A 19,911-nucleotide genomic window follows, 5' to 3' on the forward strand; every position below is an offset into this window, starting at 1 on the left:
TTGCAGTGAGCCAAGATCATGCCATTACACTCCAGCCTGGGCGACAGAGCGAGGCTCCATCTCAAAAAAAATAAATAAATGGCCAGGCGCAGTGGCTCATGCCTGTAATCCCAACACTCTGGGACGCTGAGGCGGGCAGATCACCTCAGGTTGGGAGCCCAAGACCGGCCTGACCAACATGGAGAAACACCCATCTCTACTAAAACTACAAAATTAGCTGGGCGAGGTGGTGCATGCCTGTAATTCCAGCTACTCAGGGGGCTGAGGCAAGAAAATCGCTTGAGCCCAGGAGGCAGAGGTTGCGGTGAGCCGAGATTGTGCCATTGCACTCCAGCCTGGGCAACAAGAGTGAAACCCAGTCTCAAAAATAAAATAAATAAATGCAATACAATACAATACAGCAAGAGCCGGGCACAGTGGCTCACACCTATAATCCCAGCACTTTGGGAGGCCGAGGCGGGTGGATCACTTGAGGTCAGGAGTTTTAGACCAGCATGGCCAATGCTGCGAAACCCCATCTCTACTAGAAATACAAAAATTTAGCCGGGCATGGTGGCACTTGCCTGTAATCCCAGCTACTAGGGAGGCTGAGGCAGGAGAATCACTTAAACCTAGGAGGTAGAGGTTGCAATGAGCTGAGATCACGCCACTGCACTCCAGAGCAAGATTCCGTGTCAAAAAAAAAAACAAAAAAAAAAAACAGCAACAGCAACACTGTGTTCTAAAATAGAAAATAGGTCTGTAGATCAGATTCAGTTCACGAACTGCAAGTTTGTAACTTGTACTCTGAAACAGAGCCACTGGCTGCAGCAACAGCTGTCTCTTTTACAAGTAGATCCCCAAATCACTATATATAAGAATTACAGATAGTTGAAGTACACACCATTGTGGTGAAAACCCATGACTCTTGGAATAGGATTCCCAACCTCTTTAATTAAATAGTTCATTGAGCTAGGAGAACTGAAGGACAGGATTTGAAGATACGCCCTTTCATCCTCACAAATATACAAGAGTGACTCTTCCCAACCCTTTGGGAGAATCCAGTGGGTCCCCATTATAGATCTCCTGAATGTAGATGCTCACCACTCTCATACCGGCAGCTGGATAGATTGATCACCAATCATCTGGAAAAGAGAAAAAGGAAAGCAGCAAGACAGAGACACACTTGCCAGAACAAGTGACTGTATCCAGAAACATCCTGTCCCAGGTGGAGCTGTCTGAAATCTAGCCTGCCATGCTAAGCCTGGTTTGACCGTCCCTGTTGCTGAGGACACGAGTCCAAGGGGGTACAGCATGGTGGAAAACATGGCATCAGGGTACTATTACTCTACCCAGAAGGTAGAAATTCTGTATTGCAATTACAGCTGATCTTGCTTGCAGCTTCTCACTAACATCATTGCCTCAAGCCTTTTACTCCACTGGCTCATCAGGGACAGGAATTGAAAATATTTTTGGCCAAAATACTTGTCTCCTTCCTCTTCCCCCCATTAAGGGAAGCTATGAATAAGAAAGTGGACAAGCTTTCCTTCATCAATCAGTCTGAATGGAGCAAGGCATGGTGAAATATTAAACAAGAACTGGAATGCACAAGCTGCAGTTGGATCCTGATAAGTCAGTATGGTGCTATCATACTGAAGGCGTACTAAATTTCCAGGACAAATCAGCGCCTTCTTAAAACAAGGAAATCTTCTTTTCCTGCTATTTTTTAAAGGCATCCTAAACACAAATAGAATGAAAATTAGGACAAGGCATGGTTTTTTAGATTACACACACAATCATTTGATTCTATAAAACAGATCATCGAAAGTAGATTCTTTTTATATGAACCAAAAGTGGTGAGATGTTGACAGTCTCAGCACACAGTTTCTCCTTTACTCTCTCATCATCAGCCAAGACCCCCTTCCCTCCAAGTCCTTCCTGTTATTACCAACATGGCTCCCCATTCCCCAGCTTTCAATCCTAACCTCTTTTTCTTCCTCTTCTTCTTGCCTTGCTGCTGGGCATTCTGAAGTCCGTTTTGTGCCCCTGGGTTCTCTCTCACAAAAGCCAGCGCGACGGTTTCTTTTGGATCTTCTTTGGAACTGTCCCCCTTCTCTTCGGAGTTTTCCCCTTCCTGGCTTTCCAAAGTCGGGCACTGTGGCATCTCCCTGGCCTGGGAGGAGGCTCTGGGGAAATACCAGGCCCCTAGAGAGAGGGCAGAGGGAGCCGCAGTTACAGAGATCCACCTGCAGGGGGACCCCCTCCCTCGCTCATGTGGGTAGAGACCCAGGGTTCTAATTCAACGCAACAGGTTGCAGTTTATAAAATGCCACCCGGCCTCCGCGGTTTGATGCAAGCTCAGGGAGGGAGCTGATTCCACCTTTTGCCATTGGCTGTGACCTTGGAGACTCACTCAGCCAACGCTAGCCTTGGTTTTTCCCTCCTGGGATTTTCAGGAGAAGCCTGAGATGCTGTGCATGGCACCACCTGGTAAACAATCTTATTAAAGTGAGTGAGTGTCTGGAGACAGCGAAGCCCCAAGCCTTCCTAGCTGAGAGAGTTAGTCCTAGAGGGTGCAGGTGGAGGTGCTTTGAGGAGGTCTGTTAACTGTTTCAGCACTGCACTGAACCTCCACACAGCAATATGCTGGCCTGAAAATAAATGCAACTGCCGCTCGTGGAGTACAAGACTAATGTGTAGCTGATTGAACAATAAGATTCAAGCCCAGGGCCAGATGCAGACCTTCAGAGACACCAACCACAGAGAAGGCTGTGTCTCTCCCACCATCCATTCCAAAATAAAAACAAGATCAAATTATAAAATACATGTAAGGAAGTCCAGTAAAGATCTCATCCTCCCTGGCCCCATGAGATTTCGTTCATGTTTACTCAAAATGCCAAATATCGCCAGGCGCAGCGGCTCACGCCTGTAATCCCAACACTCTGGGAGGCCAAGGCGGGCAGATCATTTGAGGTCAGACGTTTGAGACCAGCCTGGCCAACATGGTGAAACCCCGTCTCTATTAAAAATACAAAAAAAAAGGCTAGGCGCAGTGGCTTACACCTGTAATCCCAGCACTTTGGAAGTCCAAGGCAGGCGGATCACCTGAGGTCGGGAGATTGAGACCAGCCCTACCCACACAGAGAAACCCTGTCTCTACTAAAAATACAAAATAAGCCAGGCATGGTGGTGCATGCCTGTAATCCCAGCTACTCAGGAGGCTGAGGCAGGAGAATCGCTTGAACCCAGGAGGCGGAGGTTGTGGTGAGCCAAGATCGTGCCATTGCACTCTAGCCTGGGCAACAAGAGAGAAACTCCATCTCAAAAAAAAAAAAAAATTAGCCATATGTGGTGGTGGGTACCTGTAATCCCAGTTACTAGGAAGACTGAGGCAGGAGAATCGCTTGAACCAGAAGGCAGAGGTTGCAGTGAGCCGAGATCATGCCACTGCACTCCAGCCTGGGCCATAGAGCGAGACTCCATCTCAAAAAAAAAAAAAGAAATGTCAAATATCAACTATTTTTAATGGATGTGAATGCCCCTGCTTCACTCCTCCTTAAGAACATGCTTAGTTTGCCTTTGGGTAACCCAGAACTGCCAGGCCCAATTAATGGATTCATATTCCCTCACATCCAAGGCACCTATGACCACAGAGCCAATTTTCTGGTGCTTTCCCTTCCTCTCTTCACCTCCGAAAATCCTGCAAACCTCCTCACATTTCAACCCCTCTCCTCCGATGTCCACAGTCCCCTTGCTACTTATTACCTGTTCCTCCCTCACAAATTCTTTGGATTTAAAAAAAGATAATAATACATTACAATGTATTATCATTGAAAGAATATAACATTAAAGGAGGCTTAGAAAATGAGGTAGGATGAGAAATCACCTGTAGCTTTCCTACTCTATCATAGTCACTTTAAACTGTCTATGAATTCACTTTTATTCTTAATTTCTAAGCATAAGGCCAAGCACGCTGGTTCACGTCTGCAATCCAAGCACTTTGGGAGGCTGAGGCAGGCAGATCACTTGAGGTCAGAAGTTCGAGACCAGCCTGACCAACATGGCAAAACCCCATATCTACTAAAAATACAAAATTAGCCAGGCATGGTGGTGCACATCCATAATCCCAGCTACTCGGCAGGCTGAGGCAGGAGAACCACTTGAATCCGGGAGGCAGAGGTTGTAGTGAGCCAAGATTGCACTGTTGCACTGCAGCCTGGGCAACAACAGCGAGACTCCGTCTCAAAAAAAAAATTAATTAATTAATTAATTTAAAAATAAAAATAATTTCTTTTTTTGTTGTTGTTTTTTGTTTTTCGAGAGGGAGTTTCACTCTTGTTGTCCAGGATGGAGTGCAATGGCGCCATCTCGGCTCACTACAACCTCCACCTCCCGGGTTCAAGTGATTCTCCTGCCTCAGCCTCCCGAGTAGCTGGGATTACTACAGGCATACACCACCACACCCGGCTAGTTTTGTATTTTTAGTAGAGATGGGGGTTTCTCCATGTTGGTCAGGCTGGTCTCAAACTCCCAACCTCAGGTGATCCACCTGCCTCGGCCTCCCAAAGTGCTGGGATTACAAGTGTGAGCCACCGTGCCCTGCCAAAATAATAATTTCTAAGCATAATTATTCTAATATAATTGTAATCAATTTTGTATTTGCTTTTTGTCCACTTAGTAGATTATAAACAGCCTTTTCACTGTGGCAAAGTTTACATGTTTCTGGGTTTTTTGGTTTGTTTTGAGACAGAGTCTTGCTTTGTCGCCCAGGCTGAAGTGTAGTGGTGCAATCTCGGCTCACTGCAACCTCTGCCTCCTGGGTTCAAGCAATTCTTGTACTTCGGTCTCCCAAGAAGCTGGGATTACAGGCATGCACCACCACACCCGGCTAACTTTTATATTTTTAGTAGAGACAGGATTGCGCCATGTTGGCCAAGCTGGTCTTCAACTCCTGACCTCAAGCAATCTGCCCGCCTCTGCCTCTCAAAGAGTTGAGATTACAAGCATGAGCCACCGTGCATGGCCATTTCTAGTTTTTTTGTTTGTTTTGTTTTGTTTTTGTTTTTGTTTGAGACGGAGTCTCGCTCAGTCGCCCAGGCTGGAGTGCAGTGGCGCGGTCTCGGCTCACTGCAAGCTCCGCCTCCTGGGTTCACGCCATTCTCCTGCCTCAGCCTCCCAAGTAGCTGGGATTACAGGCGCCCGCCACCACGCCCGGCTAATTTTTTGTACTTTGAGTAGAGTCGGGGTTTCACTGTGTTAGCCAGGATGGTCTCAATCTCCTGACCTCGTGATCCGCCTGCCTCGGCCTCCCAAAGTGCTGGGATTACAGGCGTGAGCCACCGCGCCCGGCCATTTCTAGTTTTTAATGGCTGTATGTATTCCATTGAAAGAATGCACCTGAGTGTATGTAACCAATCATTGTCCTATTGTTGGAAATGTAAGCTGCTGCCAATTTTAATATTATACAAATAGCTCTAAAATGCATTATCGCAGGTGAAGAAGGCCTTTTACTTACTTGGGGTTATTTTCTTAATATCCTGATATTACAGGGCTAATGAATATGCAAATTACATCGCTTCTCATATGTATGTGTGTGTGTGTGTGTGTGTGTGCACGTGCATAGATATATGTTGCTTCCCAGAGGGATTGCATATTCCCATGTTGCTTCCCAGAGGGATTGCAATAATTTGGAATACTACCAGCAATATGCAACAAGAGCAGGCTCACCAGAGCCCCACAATCTCTTGGGAATCATCTCCCCTCTCTATACATATTTGCTATTTGTTTTGTTTTGTTTTTTGAGATGGTGTCTCATTCTGTCACCCAGGCTGGAGTGCAGTGGTGCAATCTCAGCTCACTGCAACCTCCATCTCCTGGGTTCAAGCGATTCTCCTGCCTCACCCTCCTGAGTAGCTGGGATTACAGGCACCTGCCACCACGTCAGGCTAATTTTTTTGTATTTTTAGTAGAGACAGGGTTTCACCATGTTGGCCAGCCTGGTCTCAAACTCCTGACCTCAAACGATCTGCCCGCCTCGGCCTCCCAAAGTGCTGGGATTACAGGCGTAAGCCACCACGCCTGGCCCAAACTTGCTAATTCTAGACAACTTTTATACCCTACAGCCAATGTCTTTGATATGACTGCACCCTTCCACCTTTCTCTATTCCTTTCTAAATCCAAATTTGGTGGTGTGGAGCCCTTAACTATGGAAGCTACCTATAAATAATATAATTATAAGCTTTTATGTGGGGATAGTTCTCTGGGCTTTTCAAAGAATTTTCATATTCATGCTCCCATTGAATGCTTACAATGAGAGGGATGGCAGAATTGTTACGTCAGCCAAGGATTGCCACTTGTTTCTTTCTCTTTCTGAAGAGGGCTGCCACTTATAGGCAAGACCCTTTATGGTGACACCAGAGCAGGGGGAGGAAGAGATGTGCTCAGGACAGATAAAACCTGGGTCTTCTGAGTCAATTGTTCCCAGTGAACAGGCACATTCTTGGCAAAGTTCAGGGGAACTAAGGTACTTGAAATCTTGACCTTGGACTACTTCCTTCCTTGAAGGTAAACGGCTAGCTCCACTCCCCTAGCCCTCCGCAACGGCTCCTATGTACCAAGCCCTCAAGGAGGAGTGGCTCTGTTTACCTAAAGGTTAATGTTAACTTGGGGAGAGAAAACTGACCCTGAGTTTGACCTCTAGAAGTGCGGGTTCTCTTTGCTCATTTTTGAGTCCTTGCCTGAGTGGTAAGAACAAGTCATGGCTCCTTCTATGTGTCTGCCTCAAAGAGTAAGCCAGGTGCAGTGGCTCACGCCTGTAATCCCAACATTTTGGGAGGCCAAGGTGAGAGGATTGCTTGAGCCCAGGAGTTCAAAACCCGCCTGGGCAACAAAGTGAGACCCCATCTCTATTAAAAAAAAAATTAGCTGAGTGCAGTGCTGCATGCCTGTAGTCCCAGCTACTCAGGAGGCTGAGGTAGGAGGATTGCTTGAGCCTAAGAGTTTGAGGCAGCAGTGAGCCATGGCTGCACCACTGCACTCCAGCCTGGATGACAGAGACCCTGTCTCAAAAAAAGAAAAGAAAGGCCGGGCGCGGTGGCTCATGCCTGTAATCCCAGCACTTTGGGAGGCCTCAACTGAGGTCGGGAGTTCGAGACCAGCCTGACCAACATGGAGAAACCCCGTCTCTACTAAAAATACAGAAAATTAGCCAGGCATGGTGGTGCATGCCTGTAATCCCACCTCCTCAGGAGGCTGAGGCAGGAGAATTGCTTGAACCTGGGAGGCAGAGATTGCGGTGAGCCGAGATCATGCCATTGTACTCCAGCCTGGACAACAAGAGCGAAACTCTGTCTCAAAAAAAAAAAAAAAAAAAGGAAAAGAAAAGAAAAAAAAGGTCAAATTATGTTTGCTCTTGCATGAGAGGGCCTCATGCATGTAAAGTAAAAAATTGAGCCCATGCACTTTTAGATAAACTGTTTCACCATGGAATTATTGCCTGCATTTCCTCGTATTCTAGGCTGCCTATGACATAAGAGCCATCTTGGATGGTACCCGAGACAGGTGCAAGATGGCAAATGGTACTTGCCATGTGACTACTTTTGCTTTGTCTTTGGCCTCCTTGCTTTCATTTCCCCCAAGCTTCTCTCCCTGTTTAATCTCCAAGGCTGAATCCTGTCTCTCCAAAGATCCTGAAAGAGCATCTCCTTCAAAGTTTGCCTACTGGGGACAGGCATGCTGAATCTAGCTTGCAGAAATGTCTACTTCTGGGGCATAGTAGCGCATACCTATAATCCTAACACTTCGGGAGGCCGAGGTAAGGGAATCACCTGAGCCCAGGAGATTGAGGCTGCAGTGAGCTGTGATCATGCCACTGCGCTCCAGCTGGGCAACAGTGAGACCCTGTCTCAAAAAACAATCAAACAAAAAAACCTATGTGTATATATAGTATGTGTGTATATATATATAGTACATATATACACATATATAGTATGTGTGTATATATATATAGTACATATATACACATATATAGTATGTGTGTGTATATATATATATATATATATATATATATAGTATGTGTGTGTATATATATGTAGTTGCCAACAACTAGAAAATGCAGATTTCCATTTCTTTTGGAGAGGTCTCTATTCCTTCATGCCAGCAATCAACCAGAGCTCAGTAATGCCTCCTGTAGACATTTCCCAGTCTGCCCCAATGCCCAACACTCCTTTTTGTTTCCCTGACACAGGAGCCAAGTGACAGTTATCCTTATATTATTATTTTTCTTTTTTTTTTTTTTTTTTTGAGACAGAGTCTCACTCGTCACACAGGCTAGAGTGCAGTGGCATGATTTCGGCTCACTGCAACCTCTGCTTCCTGGGTTCAAGCGATTCTGTTGCCTCAGCCTCCCGAGTAGCTGGGATTACAGGTGCCTGTCACCATGCCTGGCTAAGTTTTGTATTTTTAGTAGAGAACGGAGTTTTATCATATTGGTCAGGCTGGTCTCAAACTCCTGACCTCAGGTGATCCACCCACCTTGGCCACTCAAAGTGCTGGGATTACTCAAAGCAAGTGTGAGCCACCATGCCCAGCCTATTTTTCTTATAGTAGCATTGAGACATCTCTTTTTTAGAGACATGGTCTTGCTATGTTGCCCAGGCTGGTCTCAAATGCCTGGCCTCAGGAGATCCTCCTGCCTCAACCTTGGAAGTAGCTGGGATTACAACCATGAGCCGCTGTGCCCAGCTCAAGAGAGGTGACATTTTCTTAAACGCAGCCCACTTCTTTCATTTAAACTATATGCCTGACCCTATAGACATCTGAATTTATACCAGTTCTGCTCTAGTATCTCTGGCCTCCAAGCAGTTTCAAGTGAAAACAAAAGCTACTTCCACCAGGGCTGAGCAGAAAGCTTTTTTTTTTTTTTTTTTTTGAGACAGAGTCTTGCTCTGTCACCCAGGCTGGAGTGCAATGGCACGATCCCAGCTCACTGCAACCTCCACCTCCCAGGTTCCAGCTATTCTTCTGCCTCAGCCTCCCAAATAGCTGGGATTACAGGCACCTGTCACCATGCCGGCCTAATTATTTTTGCATTTTTAGTAGAGACGGGGTTTTGCCATGTTGGCCAGGCTGGTTTCAAATTCCTGAACTCAGGTGATCCGCCCACCTCGGCCTCCCAAAGTGTTGGGATTACAGGCGTGAGCCACCACGCCCAGCCAGAAAGCATTTTAATTCCCTGGTTTTCAGAATAAGAATTAAATCTGACCCAGGTGATGCTGGGACCCCCCCCCCCACCCCCCGCTCAGACTTTTCAGATGTGGACTTTATTTGGTTCTACAAGACTTCTCTTAACAGTCTTAGCAACCACTCCCTGCTCACCTGGTAGTTCCCACCTATTGTCTTGCGTAACAATTTTGTTGGTGCCAACACCAAAAGCAGTCTTGTAGCCTTGAGGAATAAAAGGAGGAAAGGCAAAAGACATGGCCTAAGGAGAATACAAAGGAGTGAGGGGAGCTGCTGGTGGCATCCTGAAATATACATACATCATGGTGTAAGGGCCTCTGCCGTCAGCTACAGGTGACTAAGCCACTTATTAAGAGGCAGCTGCAGTGTAGTAGCTAAGAACTCAGATTTCGAAGTCTCTGTCTGGATTTAAATCCCAGCTCTGCCACTTCCTAGTTGTCTGAACTCAGGCAGTTTATTTAACCTCCTGCCTTAGTTTCCTCATCTGTAAAGTGGCTTCTCCCAGTTATGGAGATTAAATGAGTTTACTCATTTGACTTAATGCAACACAAAGTTCTTAGAACAGTGCCTGGCACATAGAAGGTACCCACAAAGTGCTCTCTACCATTACCAGCTGTGTAACCCTGGACTGTGAACTTCCTGATGGAAGAGGCTGTGTCTCTGCATTCTCAGCTCCTAGCAGTGTCTAGAAAAGATACTAAAAATGAGATGTTCATATGCTCCTTGAATTAATGGGCTGGAAGAATGAATAAATGCATGAACTAATTAAGCTTCTCCAAGGTTCATTTTCCTTAGCTATATAACAGAAGTGTTGTTGTGAGCATTAGGTAAGTAACATTTGTTATTTACATTGTTAAAACATCAACCTTGGGTCCTTCTCATATAGCTGGCACTTAAAATGCTTGTTTCATTCACTTACAATAGACTATTGAAAACCCACTTACCAAGTAGCAGACATTACACTAAAGCATTTATAAACATAATGTCTCATCCTCATAATAACCTATCATGGATACTCTTTCCTCTATTACAGATGAGAAGACTGAGACAGAGAGACTAAGGTAAGAGGCACAGCTGGGGTTGGAAGACATGTCCATCTGACCCCACAGCCTGTCTCTCCATGCTCCCCTCACTGCCTTTTCCTCTCGGCAGGCCATCCATAAATAGTGTGACCATAAACTAAAGTAACTGATCTCCTAACTCCCAAAAGCAATCTTAGTGACTTTAGTCTCTTAAGAGTCAGTTGGGGACAGGCACGATGGCTCATGCCTGTAATCTCAGCACTTTCGGAGGCCAAGGTGGGCAGAGCACTTGAGCCAGGGGTTTGACACCAGCCTGGACAACATGGTGAAACCCCACTCTACCAATAAATAAATAAATAAATAAGCCAGGTGTGGTGGCGTGTGCCTGTAGTCCCAGCTACTCAGGAGGCTGAGGTGGGAGGATCACTTTAGCCCGGGAGGCTGAGGTTGCAGCGAGTAGAGATCACACAACTGCACTCCAGCCTGGGAGACAGAACTAGACCTTGCCTCAAAAACAAAAAGAAAAAGAAAAAGAGAAAAATAATCAGTTGGTCCCACATCATTTTCCTTAAAGTCAACTGCTTTAAATTCCCATCTCCAACAAGGGCTTGGATCTCTCCAGATTTGCCATAACCTGGTAACAGCTGTATTGTTTCTACTTGTATTTATTTTCACTCTCTTTCCCTTCTTTTCTCCAATGTCCACATTGTACCAGGGCTCCTATTAAGGGTGTAATTAGAATATTTTCTAAGCTTCTATGGAATTCCTGAATGTTAGAGCTGGGAGGAATCTTTTTAGAGGAGGTTTTGAACTCTCTGCCCTCTGCCAGTCTGTGCTAGGGGAGGGGACTTGTACCCAGCCAGAGAGCAAGAAATCAGAAGCACCATCAAAACCCCAGCTTCCTGGTCCCCAAGTTATCTTCCCATTATGCTGGGTTAGTGGACAGACAAAGTGGACTAAGTGCTTTAGAGAGTTTTTAAAAGACTAAGGCTGGGTGCGGTGGCTCACGCCTGTAATTCCAGCACTTTGGGAGGCCAAGGCAGGTGGGTTACTTGAGGTCAGGAGTTGGAGACCAAGTTGGCAAACATGGTGAAACCCCGTCTCTACTAAAAATACAAAAATTAGCTGGGCATGGTGGCAGGCGCCTGTAATCCCAGCTACTCGGTAGGCTGGGGCAGGAGAATCGCTTGAACCTGGGAGGCGGACGTTGCAGTGAGCCCAGATCGCACCACTGCCCTCCAGTCTGGGTGACAGAGGGAGACAGTGTCTCAAAAAAAAAAAAAAAAAAAAAAAGACTAAGAGCTGTACTACCAATGTAACAAACACAGTAAATAGCAAAATAGCATCTTCAGTTTTTCTTAATGACACAAGAAAGAGCATTGTGTCATTAAGGAAGGGTATTAGTCCACCTTTCCAAGTAGGATATAGTTAAGACACTGAAAAAATTCTCATGTTTCCTTCCATTTTAGTATAGGGTTTGATCTTGAGATCTTCCAAGCCAGAGGCTGTCAACAAGATCCTGGTTAGACAGCACGAAAATGTCCTACATTGGCCACCAGGGGGAGGGAATGAGCACTGGGACGGGTCCACTGGGACGGGTCCATTGCGGGTTATTTGGAAAAAACTCAGAGGAGGGTCCCTGTCTTATTTCCACTTCTGAAGGACTATACCTGTTGACTACTCTCCTCTTCCCTGGAGGTGTTGCAGAGGGTGGAAAATGTTTAGTGCTTTCTTTTATCTTTCTTTCTTTCTTTCAAACTCCAGCCTGTTGCCCAGGCTGGAGTGCAATGGCACGATCTCAGCTCACCGCAACCTCTGCCTCCTGGATTCAAGTGATTCTCCCGCCTTAGCTTCCCGGGAGCTGGGACTACAGGCATGCACCACCACGCCTGGCTAATTTTGTATTTTTAGTAGAGATGGGGTTTCTCCATGTTGGTCAGGCTGGTCTCAAACTCCCAACCTCAGGTTATCAGCCCACCTCAGCCTCCCAAAGTGCTGGGATTACAAGCATGAGCCACCGCGCCCAGCAGTTTAGTGATTTCTTTTGCAAAACTGAATGAACACGGGCATCCTATAAATGATAGAAAACAATAATTTGGTGGTTGACTAAGAGAACCCTGGGAGAACATATTTCAAGTTGTAGCCAAGTTTTTTCATCTCTGACCTTCATCACCTGGACTTTTTTTCTAGTCTATAGGAATATATAGAGCACTGAAAGTTTCGCCTATTGTGTCTGTCTGTGAAGTCCCTCTCTTTCACCAGATAATAGGTTTTCCTTCACGTACCTCCTTTTCATCTTTTGGTCCTCATTTCCCTACTGGAAGCATCCCTCTGAAGGCCTCCAGTGGTTCTTGGAAAATGTCAAATTGGATGGGGGAAGAAAAGATGTGGAGGTAAGACCTCTGGATCTTGCTTTCAGCTTTGCCCCTCCAACTCAGTATGTCATAAAAATCCAAGCAATTATTTCCTCTCCCACTCCCTATCTTCTCTATAATTACAGGACCACTAGGAGGATAAAAGCTTCACATCTAGAAAAGTGCTTTGAGCTTTGATTCAGACAGGATAAAATAAGATGTTTTTTGTGGTCTTTTGACTTTTCGTTTTAGTCACACTTTGAATTTCAGCCCGGGGCCTGAAAGGGTCCTAAGCAAAATGTGAACTAACAAGGGAGGGATGGGGCACCCAATTGCTCAAGGGCTTTGCCAATAAGAAGTGTTGAGAATGACAAGTCACCTGTAGTGGGAACAATAAGAATCTTGCTGACTTAGATGCCATCTTTTATTCTTCTAGAAACTGAGAAATTCTGCAAGATTGGAAGATGCAATATTCAGATCAGGCTCATGCCTAGTCATTTTCTCCACAATATTCAGGGCATTGCTAACAAAGACAGATGGATCTGGATCCAAATCCCAGCTCTACTAGTTTCTAGAATGTGTGACCATGGGTGAGTAACTTAGCCTCTCTGTACCTCAGCTTCTGTATAAGTAAAATGGGGATGATAATAATATTCATTTTATGGAGCTGTTTTAAAGATTAAATGAGTTAATATTTCTAATACCCTTAAAGCAGTGCTTGGTTCAAAATAAAGGCTATATTGTAAAATGAAAATATAAACCAGGCGTGGTGACTCATGCCTGTAATTCCAGCACTTTGGGAAGCCCAAGTGGGAGGATCACTTGAGCTCAGGAGTTCGAGACCAGCCTGGGCAAAAAAGTGAGCCCCCCCACCCCCACCTCCATCTCTTAAAACAAACAAAAAAGAAAATATAATAATAAGATTGGCATAAATATTAAATTTTTTTGGAGTGCCTCGCACATACTGGTGCTTTCAAAACGTTAGCTCCCTTCCCACTTCATCCCCCAATGTGATATTTTTCCTAGAGTTCAAATCCCAAAGGAGAACTTTCTGCAAAGCCAGAAGAGTATTTTTTCAGGAGGGGTGAGAAATAACAACTGGAAATGAAAGAACACCAGGCTGGAAGGCGGTAGGGGCATCAGCAGAGGACTATGCCGGCCATGAAAAATGGGAAGTGTCTTGCTGGAAGGTTTCTCCAGACAAAGGAAGAACAGTGATGAAGAAAATGACCCAATGATGGGGATGAAGGGGATGAAGAGAGTTGTGTGAGTCCCAGGGATCGCTGGTGTCTAAGCGACAGCTCCTTGGTGGACTGTGGTTTAGGAAATCGGGGGAGGGCGGGAAATGAACGTTAATAAGAGGGACTGAGAAGGGGGGAGTCCCGGAGCCGAGGGACCGTGAGGGTGAGTGCCTGGCGCCATGGAACGCCACCAGGGAGGGCAGCGGGCTACCCTGGGGACCTGGGTCCCGTGTGGGTTTAAGGAGACGTGTCTAGCCAGGTTTTCAGGGGACAGGCACCAGGAGGCTGCGGTCTGGAGCCAGCACCGGGCTTTGGGGCGCTCTTACCCGCAATTCCTACTCCCCCGTCTCGCCCCGCTGGGCTGCTAGTCCAGCTTGCAACCACACCTGCCGGCCCCCTCCTCGAAGGATGAAGGAGTAACGCTCCCATTGGCTGCCAGACAGCCCCAACCCCAACCCGCGCTCGCCCTAACTTTGGGTCCGCCCGGCCCTCATATTTGCATACGGGGCCTTCTAGGCCTTCGATTGGCCCCTGCAGTAGCTGCCATGCCCCCTCCCTCCCGAATCCAATTAACCGCCCAGGCGCTAGGGGAGGGGCGCGCCCACGGTTGTCCCGGGAGACGCGGAGGACGCGCGCACCGCGCACCCGGGCGCCAGGGGCTGGACCGCCGCTCGCTCCCGCAGCCCTACCCTTGCCCAGCGAGCCAAGCCGCAGTCCCAGCCCATCCGCGCCGGTGCCGTCGGGCGCCGTGCGCGGGCGCGGCCAGAACGTCTGGCTCCAGAGGTCCAGCTGCGCGGGGCTGCGGTGAGGGAGGGGGGCACCTTGAATTTAGGCCTTCGGGAGAGGGCAAACCTGAAGCAGGAGGCACTGTGGGAAAACACTGGTTGGAGACTTAAATCAGCATCTCAGGCATATTAGTGCCTGTGTCACCTTGGGCAGGCCACGTTACCTCTGTGAGGCTTAGCTTCTTCAACAGGAAAATGGGTGTTGCAAACCTGTGATGACCGCTCAGGCGTATTGAACCCTGACCTCACCTCCAGAGTGTGGGGGTCATGGCCTCCAGTGAACTGATCAGTAAGAGAGGGCCGCCTAGACCGACTGAAGAGTCAGTGAGACTTAAGGGGTTAGGGGTCTGGGCTTCTCAGAGCAACCATTTGGTCTCAGGTGGAGAATCTGTAGTAGTGACTGGATTCAAATCATTGAAGATGGTCGGGCGCGGTGGCTCACGCCTGTAATCCCAGCACTTTGGGAGGCCTAGGTGGGTGGATCGCTTGAGCTCAGAAGTTCAACACCAGCTGGACAACATGGCGAAACCTCCTCTCTACTAAAAATACAAAAATTAACCGAGCGCGGTGCGCGTACCTGTGGTCCCAGCTATCGGGAGGCTGAGGCGGGAGGATCGCTTGAACACAGGAGGCAGAGGTTGCATTAAGCTGAGATCGCGCCACTGCACTCCAGCCTGGGCAACAGAGGGAAACTCTGTCTCAAATAAATAAATAAACATTGTTCATTTGGGCCTGAGTTGGTAACCTAAGTTCCTCCCAACCCAGATCCCCTTCACCTGCTGATGTGCACAGGCAGAACACCAGAGGCAAGGGTGTAGCTTAGCCTCAAGCCGACCCTGGAAGCCTACTACGTGGTGCTTACAGTCACCCCGGAGTGAACAGAAGGCCCAAAGTGGAACCAGTGGCCCATCTGCTGCTCTTTCAGAAACCTCTCTGCCATCCAGTCAGCACTCTTCCCTTTTCCCCCCGCAGGTGGCCCCGTGCTGTGGTGCCCCTCCCCGACAGGCCCTAAGGGGCCAAGTGACCATCATTAACTGGTCACCCAGCAGATGCTTCCCTAAGACCAACTGTCCCAGCCTGGTCCCCTCCCCCATCCCACTGTTGTCTTTCCCCAGCGTCCTACCAATCTGCTCTGCCTAGCTCCTGTTTGGTCTCCGGTCCCTCAGGAGTGATATTGTGATGGAAATGAGGGAGAGGATACAGGAGAGAGCAGCAAAGATTTACGGCTTTCAGAGAGTTTCCACTAAAATCCCTGACAACTGGTTATTTATGAGATGTTGCAACGGGAGCTTATAGGCCAGAGCCTGGCACTACTGTCCTTTCAGGGCTGATGTCAGGAGCAAACACAGGGTGAACACGGTGAACAGTGGAGCTGCCCTCACTGTAGAGCAAAGCAAGCTTCAACCCGAGTGACAGCCAGGAAAGCAGAGAATATCAGTGATTTGTGCCTGGCAAACCCTAAACAGACAAATCCACAAGGTAAACACTGAGGGACTTACTCGGCCTGGGCATGAAAAACTGAAGCAGAATGATGGAGGGTCCTAATTGTCAAAAAATTTGGACCATGTCCTAGAAGCTGTCAGAGGCAAGAGTGTGTGGAAAAATCCAGGTCCAACCCTGTTGTTTTCACTGCTGTTTTGTTCCTAAGGCACCCACCTGACTAAATAGATAAATAGTAAAACAACAGTAAAATCCCCGTAAGGTTGTTTGCTCTGCACTTCACACACAGCGTTTTTTCTCAGTTTGGAGTTCTTCCTTTAAGTAGTTAATGAAACAAACAGAGATCCTGCTTCTGCTCCCTGAACCAAGGTCCCTCCTAGAAGCCCTTTCTTCCTGTGCCAGTCAAAATATATTTTTTTTTTCAGACGGAGTCTTGCTCTGTCGCCCAGGCTGGAGTGCAGTGGCGCGATCTCAGCTCACTGCAATCTCTGCCTCCTGGGTTCAAGCAATTCTCCTGCCTCAGCCTCCCAAGTAGCTGGAATTACAGACACCCGCCACCATGCCCGGCTAATTTTTGTATTTTTAGTAGAGACGGGTTTCACCATGTTGGCCAGGCTGGTCTCAAACTCCTGACCACGTGATCCGCCCACCTCGGCATCCCAAAGTGGTGGGATTACAGGCGTGATCCACTGCACCCGGCCAAAATAATTTTATTTTGTTTTTTTCGAGATGGAGTCTTGCTCTGTCGTCCAGGCTGGAGTACAGTGGCACGGTCATGACTCATTGAAGCCTCAAACTCCTGGGCTCAAGCAACGCTCCTGAGTAGCTAGGATTACAGGCTCCTACCACCATGCCTGACTAATTTTTTAAAAAAACAATTTTGTAGAGACGGGATCTTGTTTTGTTGCCTCTCAAAATGTTGGGATCACAGGTGTTAGCCACCGTGCCCAGCCAAAATAAAGTCTTGATATGTGTACCAGGAATGATGTAAGGAGTGGGAATGAGGCAAGGATGCTTAGATAAAATTTTGCATACCCCAGATTTTTTTTGCTTTAAGTCTGCAATGCATGAGAGAATGTTGTAGAAGTGTATATAATCACAGAATTGGGCTTCTTTTAAATCAGAAGAGTTCTTAGAGACCTCCATGGCATTTGTCCTGTTTTCAGATGAGGAAACTGAGGCCCAGGAAAGTGGGATGGCTTTGCTCAAGGCTTGCAGTGGGGTCATAGAGTCCATTACCCCTTCCTCCACATGCTCTGATATTAGTGAAATAGAAATAGCAATAGAAACTGCTGCCAAGCACCTCTTCTGAATCCTCTCCATTTTGATGTGTAACTGTATCTGATGGGGCTGAAAGAGCCCCTGGACAGGGGACTGCCCACCCATGAGCAGTGGAGCTCCCAGGTTTCTGGGTTTTTTTGTTTTTGTTTTTGTTTTTTCGAGATGGAGTCTCGCCCTGTCACCCAGGCTAGAGTGCAGTGGCACAATCTCGGCTCACTGCAACCTCCGCCTCCCGGGTTCAAACGATTCTCCTGCCTCAGCCTCCTCAGCCTCCTGAGTAGCTGGGACTACAGGCACCTGCCATCACGCCTGGCTAATTTTTGTATTTTTAGTAGAGACGGGGTTTCGCCATGTTGGCCAGGCTGGTTTTGAACTCTTGACCTCAGGTGATCCACCCACCTCAGCCTCCCAAAGTGCTAGAATTATAGGCGTGAGCCACTGCACTCAGATAATTTTTTTTTATTTTTAGTAAAGATGGGGGTTTCGCCACGTAGGCCAGGCTGGTCTCGAACTGCTGACTTCAGGTGATCTGCCCGCCTCTGCATGCCAAAGTGCTGGGATTACAGGCAGGTTTCTGTTTTTATTTTGCCTTTCTTCTTCATCCTCCTCCACTTTCTGGGAAAACAAACTTCCCTGTTCATAGATGTTGGGTTTTTTTTTTCTTTTTGCCCTGTAAGGAAACAACATGGCTGTTTTTAAAGCATCCTTGTCTTGGTGTAGATGGCCCTCAGACAAGTTCCATAGACAGTGCCCTGATTAGCTGGGCGCAGGGGCTCATGCCTGTAATCCCAGCACTTTGGGAGGCCGAGGGGGGCGGATTACTTGAGGTCAGGAGTTTGAGACCAGCTTGGCCAACATGGTGAAACCTCGTCTCTACTAAAAAAACAAAAATTAGCCTGGCATGGTGGCAGGCACCTGTTAATCCCAGGTACTCAGGAAGCTGAGGCAGGAGAATCACCTGAACCCAGGAGGCAGAGGTTGGCAGTGAGCCAAGATCTTGCCACTGCACTCCAGGCTGGATGACAGAGTGAGACTCCGTCTCAAAAAAAAAAAATTATTTGGGCACCGTGGCTCATGCCTGTAATCCCAGCACTTGGGAGGTCAAGGAGAGCAGATTGCTTGAGTCCAGGAGTTCAAGACCAGCTTGGGCAATATGGAGAAACCCCGTCTCTACTAAAAATACAAAACTCAGCTGGGTGTAGTGGTGCACACCTGGAGCCCCAGCTACTTGGAGGCTAAGGGAGGAGGATTGCTTGAGTCTGGGAGGTGGAGGCTGCAGTGAGCCAAGATCATGCCACTGCACTCCAGCCTGGGCGACAGAATGGGACCATGGATCAAAAAAATAAAATTGGGCCCGGTGCGGTGGCTCACACCTATAAAGCGCAGCACTTTGGGAAGCAAAGGCAGGCGGATCACTTGAGGTCAGGAATTCAAGACCAGCCTGGCCAACATTGTGAAACTCATCTCTACTAAATATACAAAAATCAGCCAGGTGTGATGGTGGGCACTTGTAATCCCAGCTACTCGGGAGGCTGAGGCAAGAGAATCACCTGAATCCAAGAGGCAGAGGTTGCAGTGAGCCAAGATGGTGCCATTGCACTCCAGCCTGGGCAAGAATGAAACTCCATCTCAAAAAAAAAAATTTTTTTTTAATAAACAGCTTAAATATTCAATTGTTAGAAAATGGTTAAGTAAATTATGGTAGAATCAATTATATTACAGCAAAAAAGAAACTAACATATATGAAGTTTCATTGCACCAAGGAAGTTTTTTACTTAATAAAAGTAGTGAGTGAAAAAAATATAAAGGCTATGACTATGTCAAACATGTATTTACATATTAAAAAAACTGGAAAAAAAGAGAGAATTTTCTTAATAAAGATAAAACCAGGACTCTCATATAGATATAAAAACGAACACATGTTAAGGATTTTACAGCTGACCCTTGAACCATGCAGGGGTTAGGAGCATCAACCCCCTAGGCAGTTGAAAATCTGCAGATAACTTTTTTCTTTTTTTGTCAGACCTGGTGAACCAGAAGTTTTGGGTTGTTTTTTGGTTTGTTTGTTTTGTTTTGTTTTTGTTTTTGTTTTTGTTTTTGAGATGAAGTCTTACTATGATGCCCAGGGTAGTCTCTAACTCATGGGTTTAAGTGACCCTCCCACCTCAGCCTCCCAAGTAGCTAGGATTAAAAGTGCGCACCACAGCACCCAGCTCTCCCAGTACTACTTTTGTTTGTTTTGTTTTTTGTTTTTTGGGTTTTTTTTGTTTTTTTTTTTTTGAGATGGAGCCTCACTCTGTCGCCCAGGTTGGAGTGCAGTGGCGTCATCTCAGCTCACTGCAAACTTCGCTCCCCAGCTTCAAACCATTTTCCTGCCTCAGCCTCCGGAGTAGCTGGGATTACAGGCATGCACCACCTTGCCCAGCTAATTTTGAATTTTTAGTAGAGACGGGGTTTCTCCATGTTATGTTGGTCAGGCTGGTCTTGAACTCCCGACCTCAGGTGATCCGCCCACCTCGGCCTCCCAAAGTGCTGGGATTACAGGAGTGAGCCACCACTCCCAGCCACA

At 47.1% G+C, this 19,911-nt stretch overlaps 1 protein-coding gene and 1 long non-coding RNA gene across 8 annotated transcripts in view, besides 2 other annotated features; one reads left to right on the forward strand and one right to left on the reverse strand.

Annotated features, from left to right (window-relative positions):
* TTLL6 (tubulin tyrosine ligase like 6) overlaps positions 1-14,422 on the reverse strand; it is a 54,996-nt gene extending 40,574 nt beyond the window's left edge. For 2 of the 7 annotated variants that reach the window (NM_001130918.3, XM_017024491.3), the window contains exons 1-3: positions 14,163-14,422; positions 1,965-2,184; positions 1,084-1,121 (exon numbers count right to left, since the gene is read on the reverse strand). In NM_001130918.3, coding sequence (NP_001124390.1) covers positions 1,084-1,121; positions 1,965-2,184; positions 14,163-14,265 — 361 coding nt within the window. In that variant the 5' untranslated portion in view covers positions 14,266-14,422. Of the gene's footprint in view, positions 1-1,083; positions 1,717-1,964; positions 2,185-9,354; positions 9,424-12,526; positions 12,592-12,974; positions 13,045-14,162 lie in introns of those variants that run through there. The other 5 variants (XM_047435804.1, XM_047435803.1, XM_017024493.3 and 2 more) reach the window with 5 other exon arrangements.
* On the forward strand, positions 9,433-14,151 carry LOC105371813 (uncharacterized). The gene is made up of 4 exons (XR_001752926.1): positions 9,433-9,552; positions 10,253-10,280; positions 13,032-13,185; positions 13,622-14,151. It is a non-coding gene; the product is annotated as an uncharacterized LOC105371813 (long non-coding RNA).
* Positions 14,128-14,177: a silencer, noted in NCBI's record as "silent region_8659". NCBI's record gives its function as "represses an Ori minimal core promoter by ATAC-STARR-seq in GM12878 lymphoblastoid cells {active_cell/tissue: GM12878}" and the evidence as "EXISTENCE:reporter gene assay evidence [ECO:0000049][PMID:35858748]".
* Positions 14,268-14,617: a silencer, noted in NCBI's record as "silent region_8660". NCBI's record gives its function as "represses an Ori minimal core promoter by ATAC-STARR-seq in GM12878 lymphoblastoid cells {active_cell/tissue: GM12878}" and the evidence as "EXISTENCE:reporter gene assay evidence [ECO:0000049][PMID:35858748]".

Source organism: Homo sapiens, chromosome 17, assembly GCF_000001405.40.
Source record: "Homo sapiens chromosome 17, GRCh38.p14 Primary Assembly".
Taxonomy (NCBI): Eukaryota; Metazoa; Chordata; class Mammalia; order Primates; family Hominidae; genus Homo; species Homo sapiens.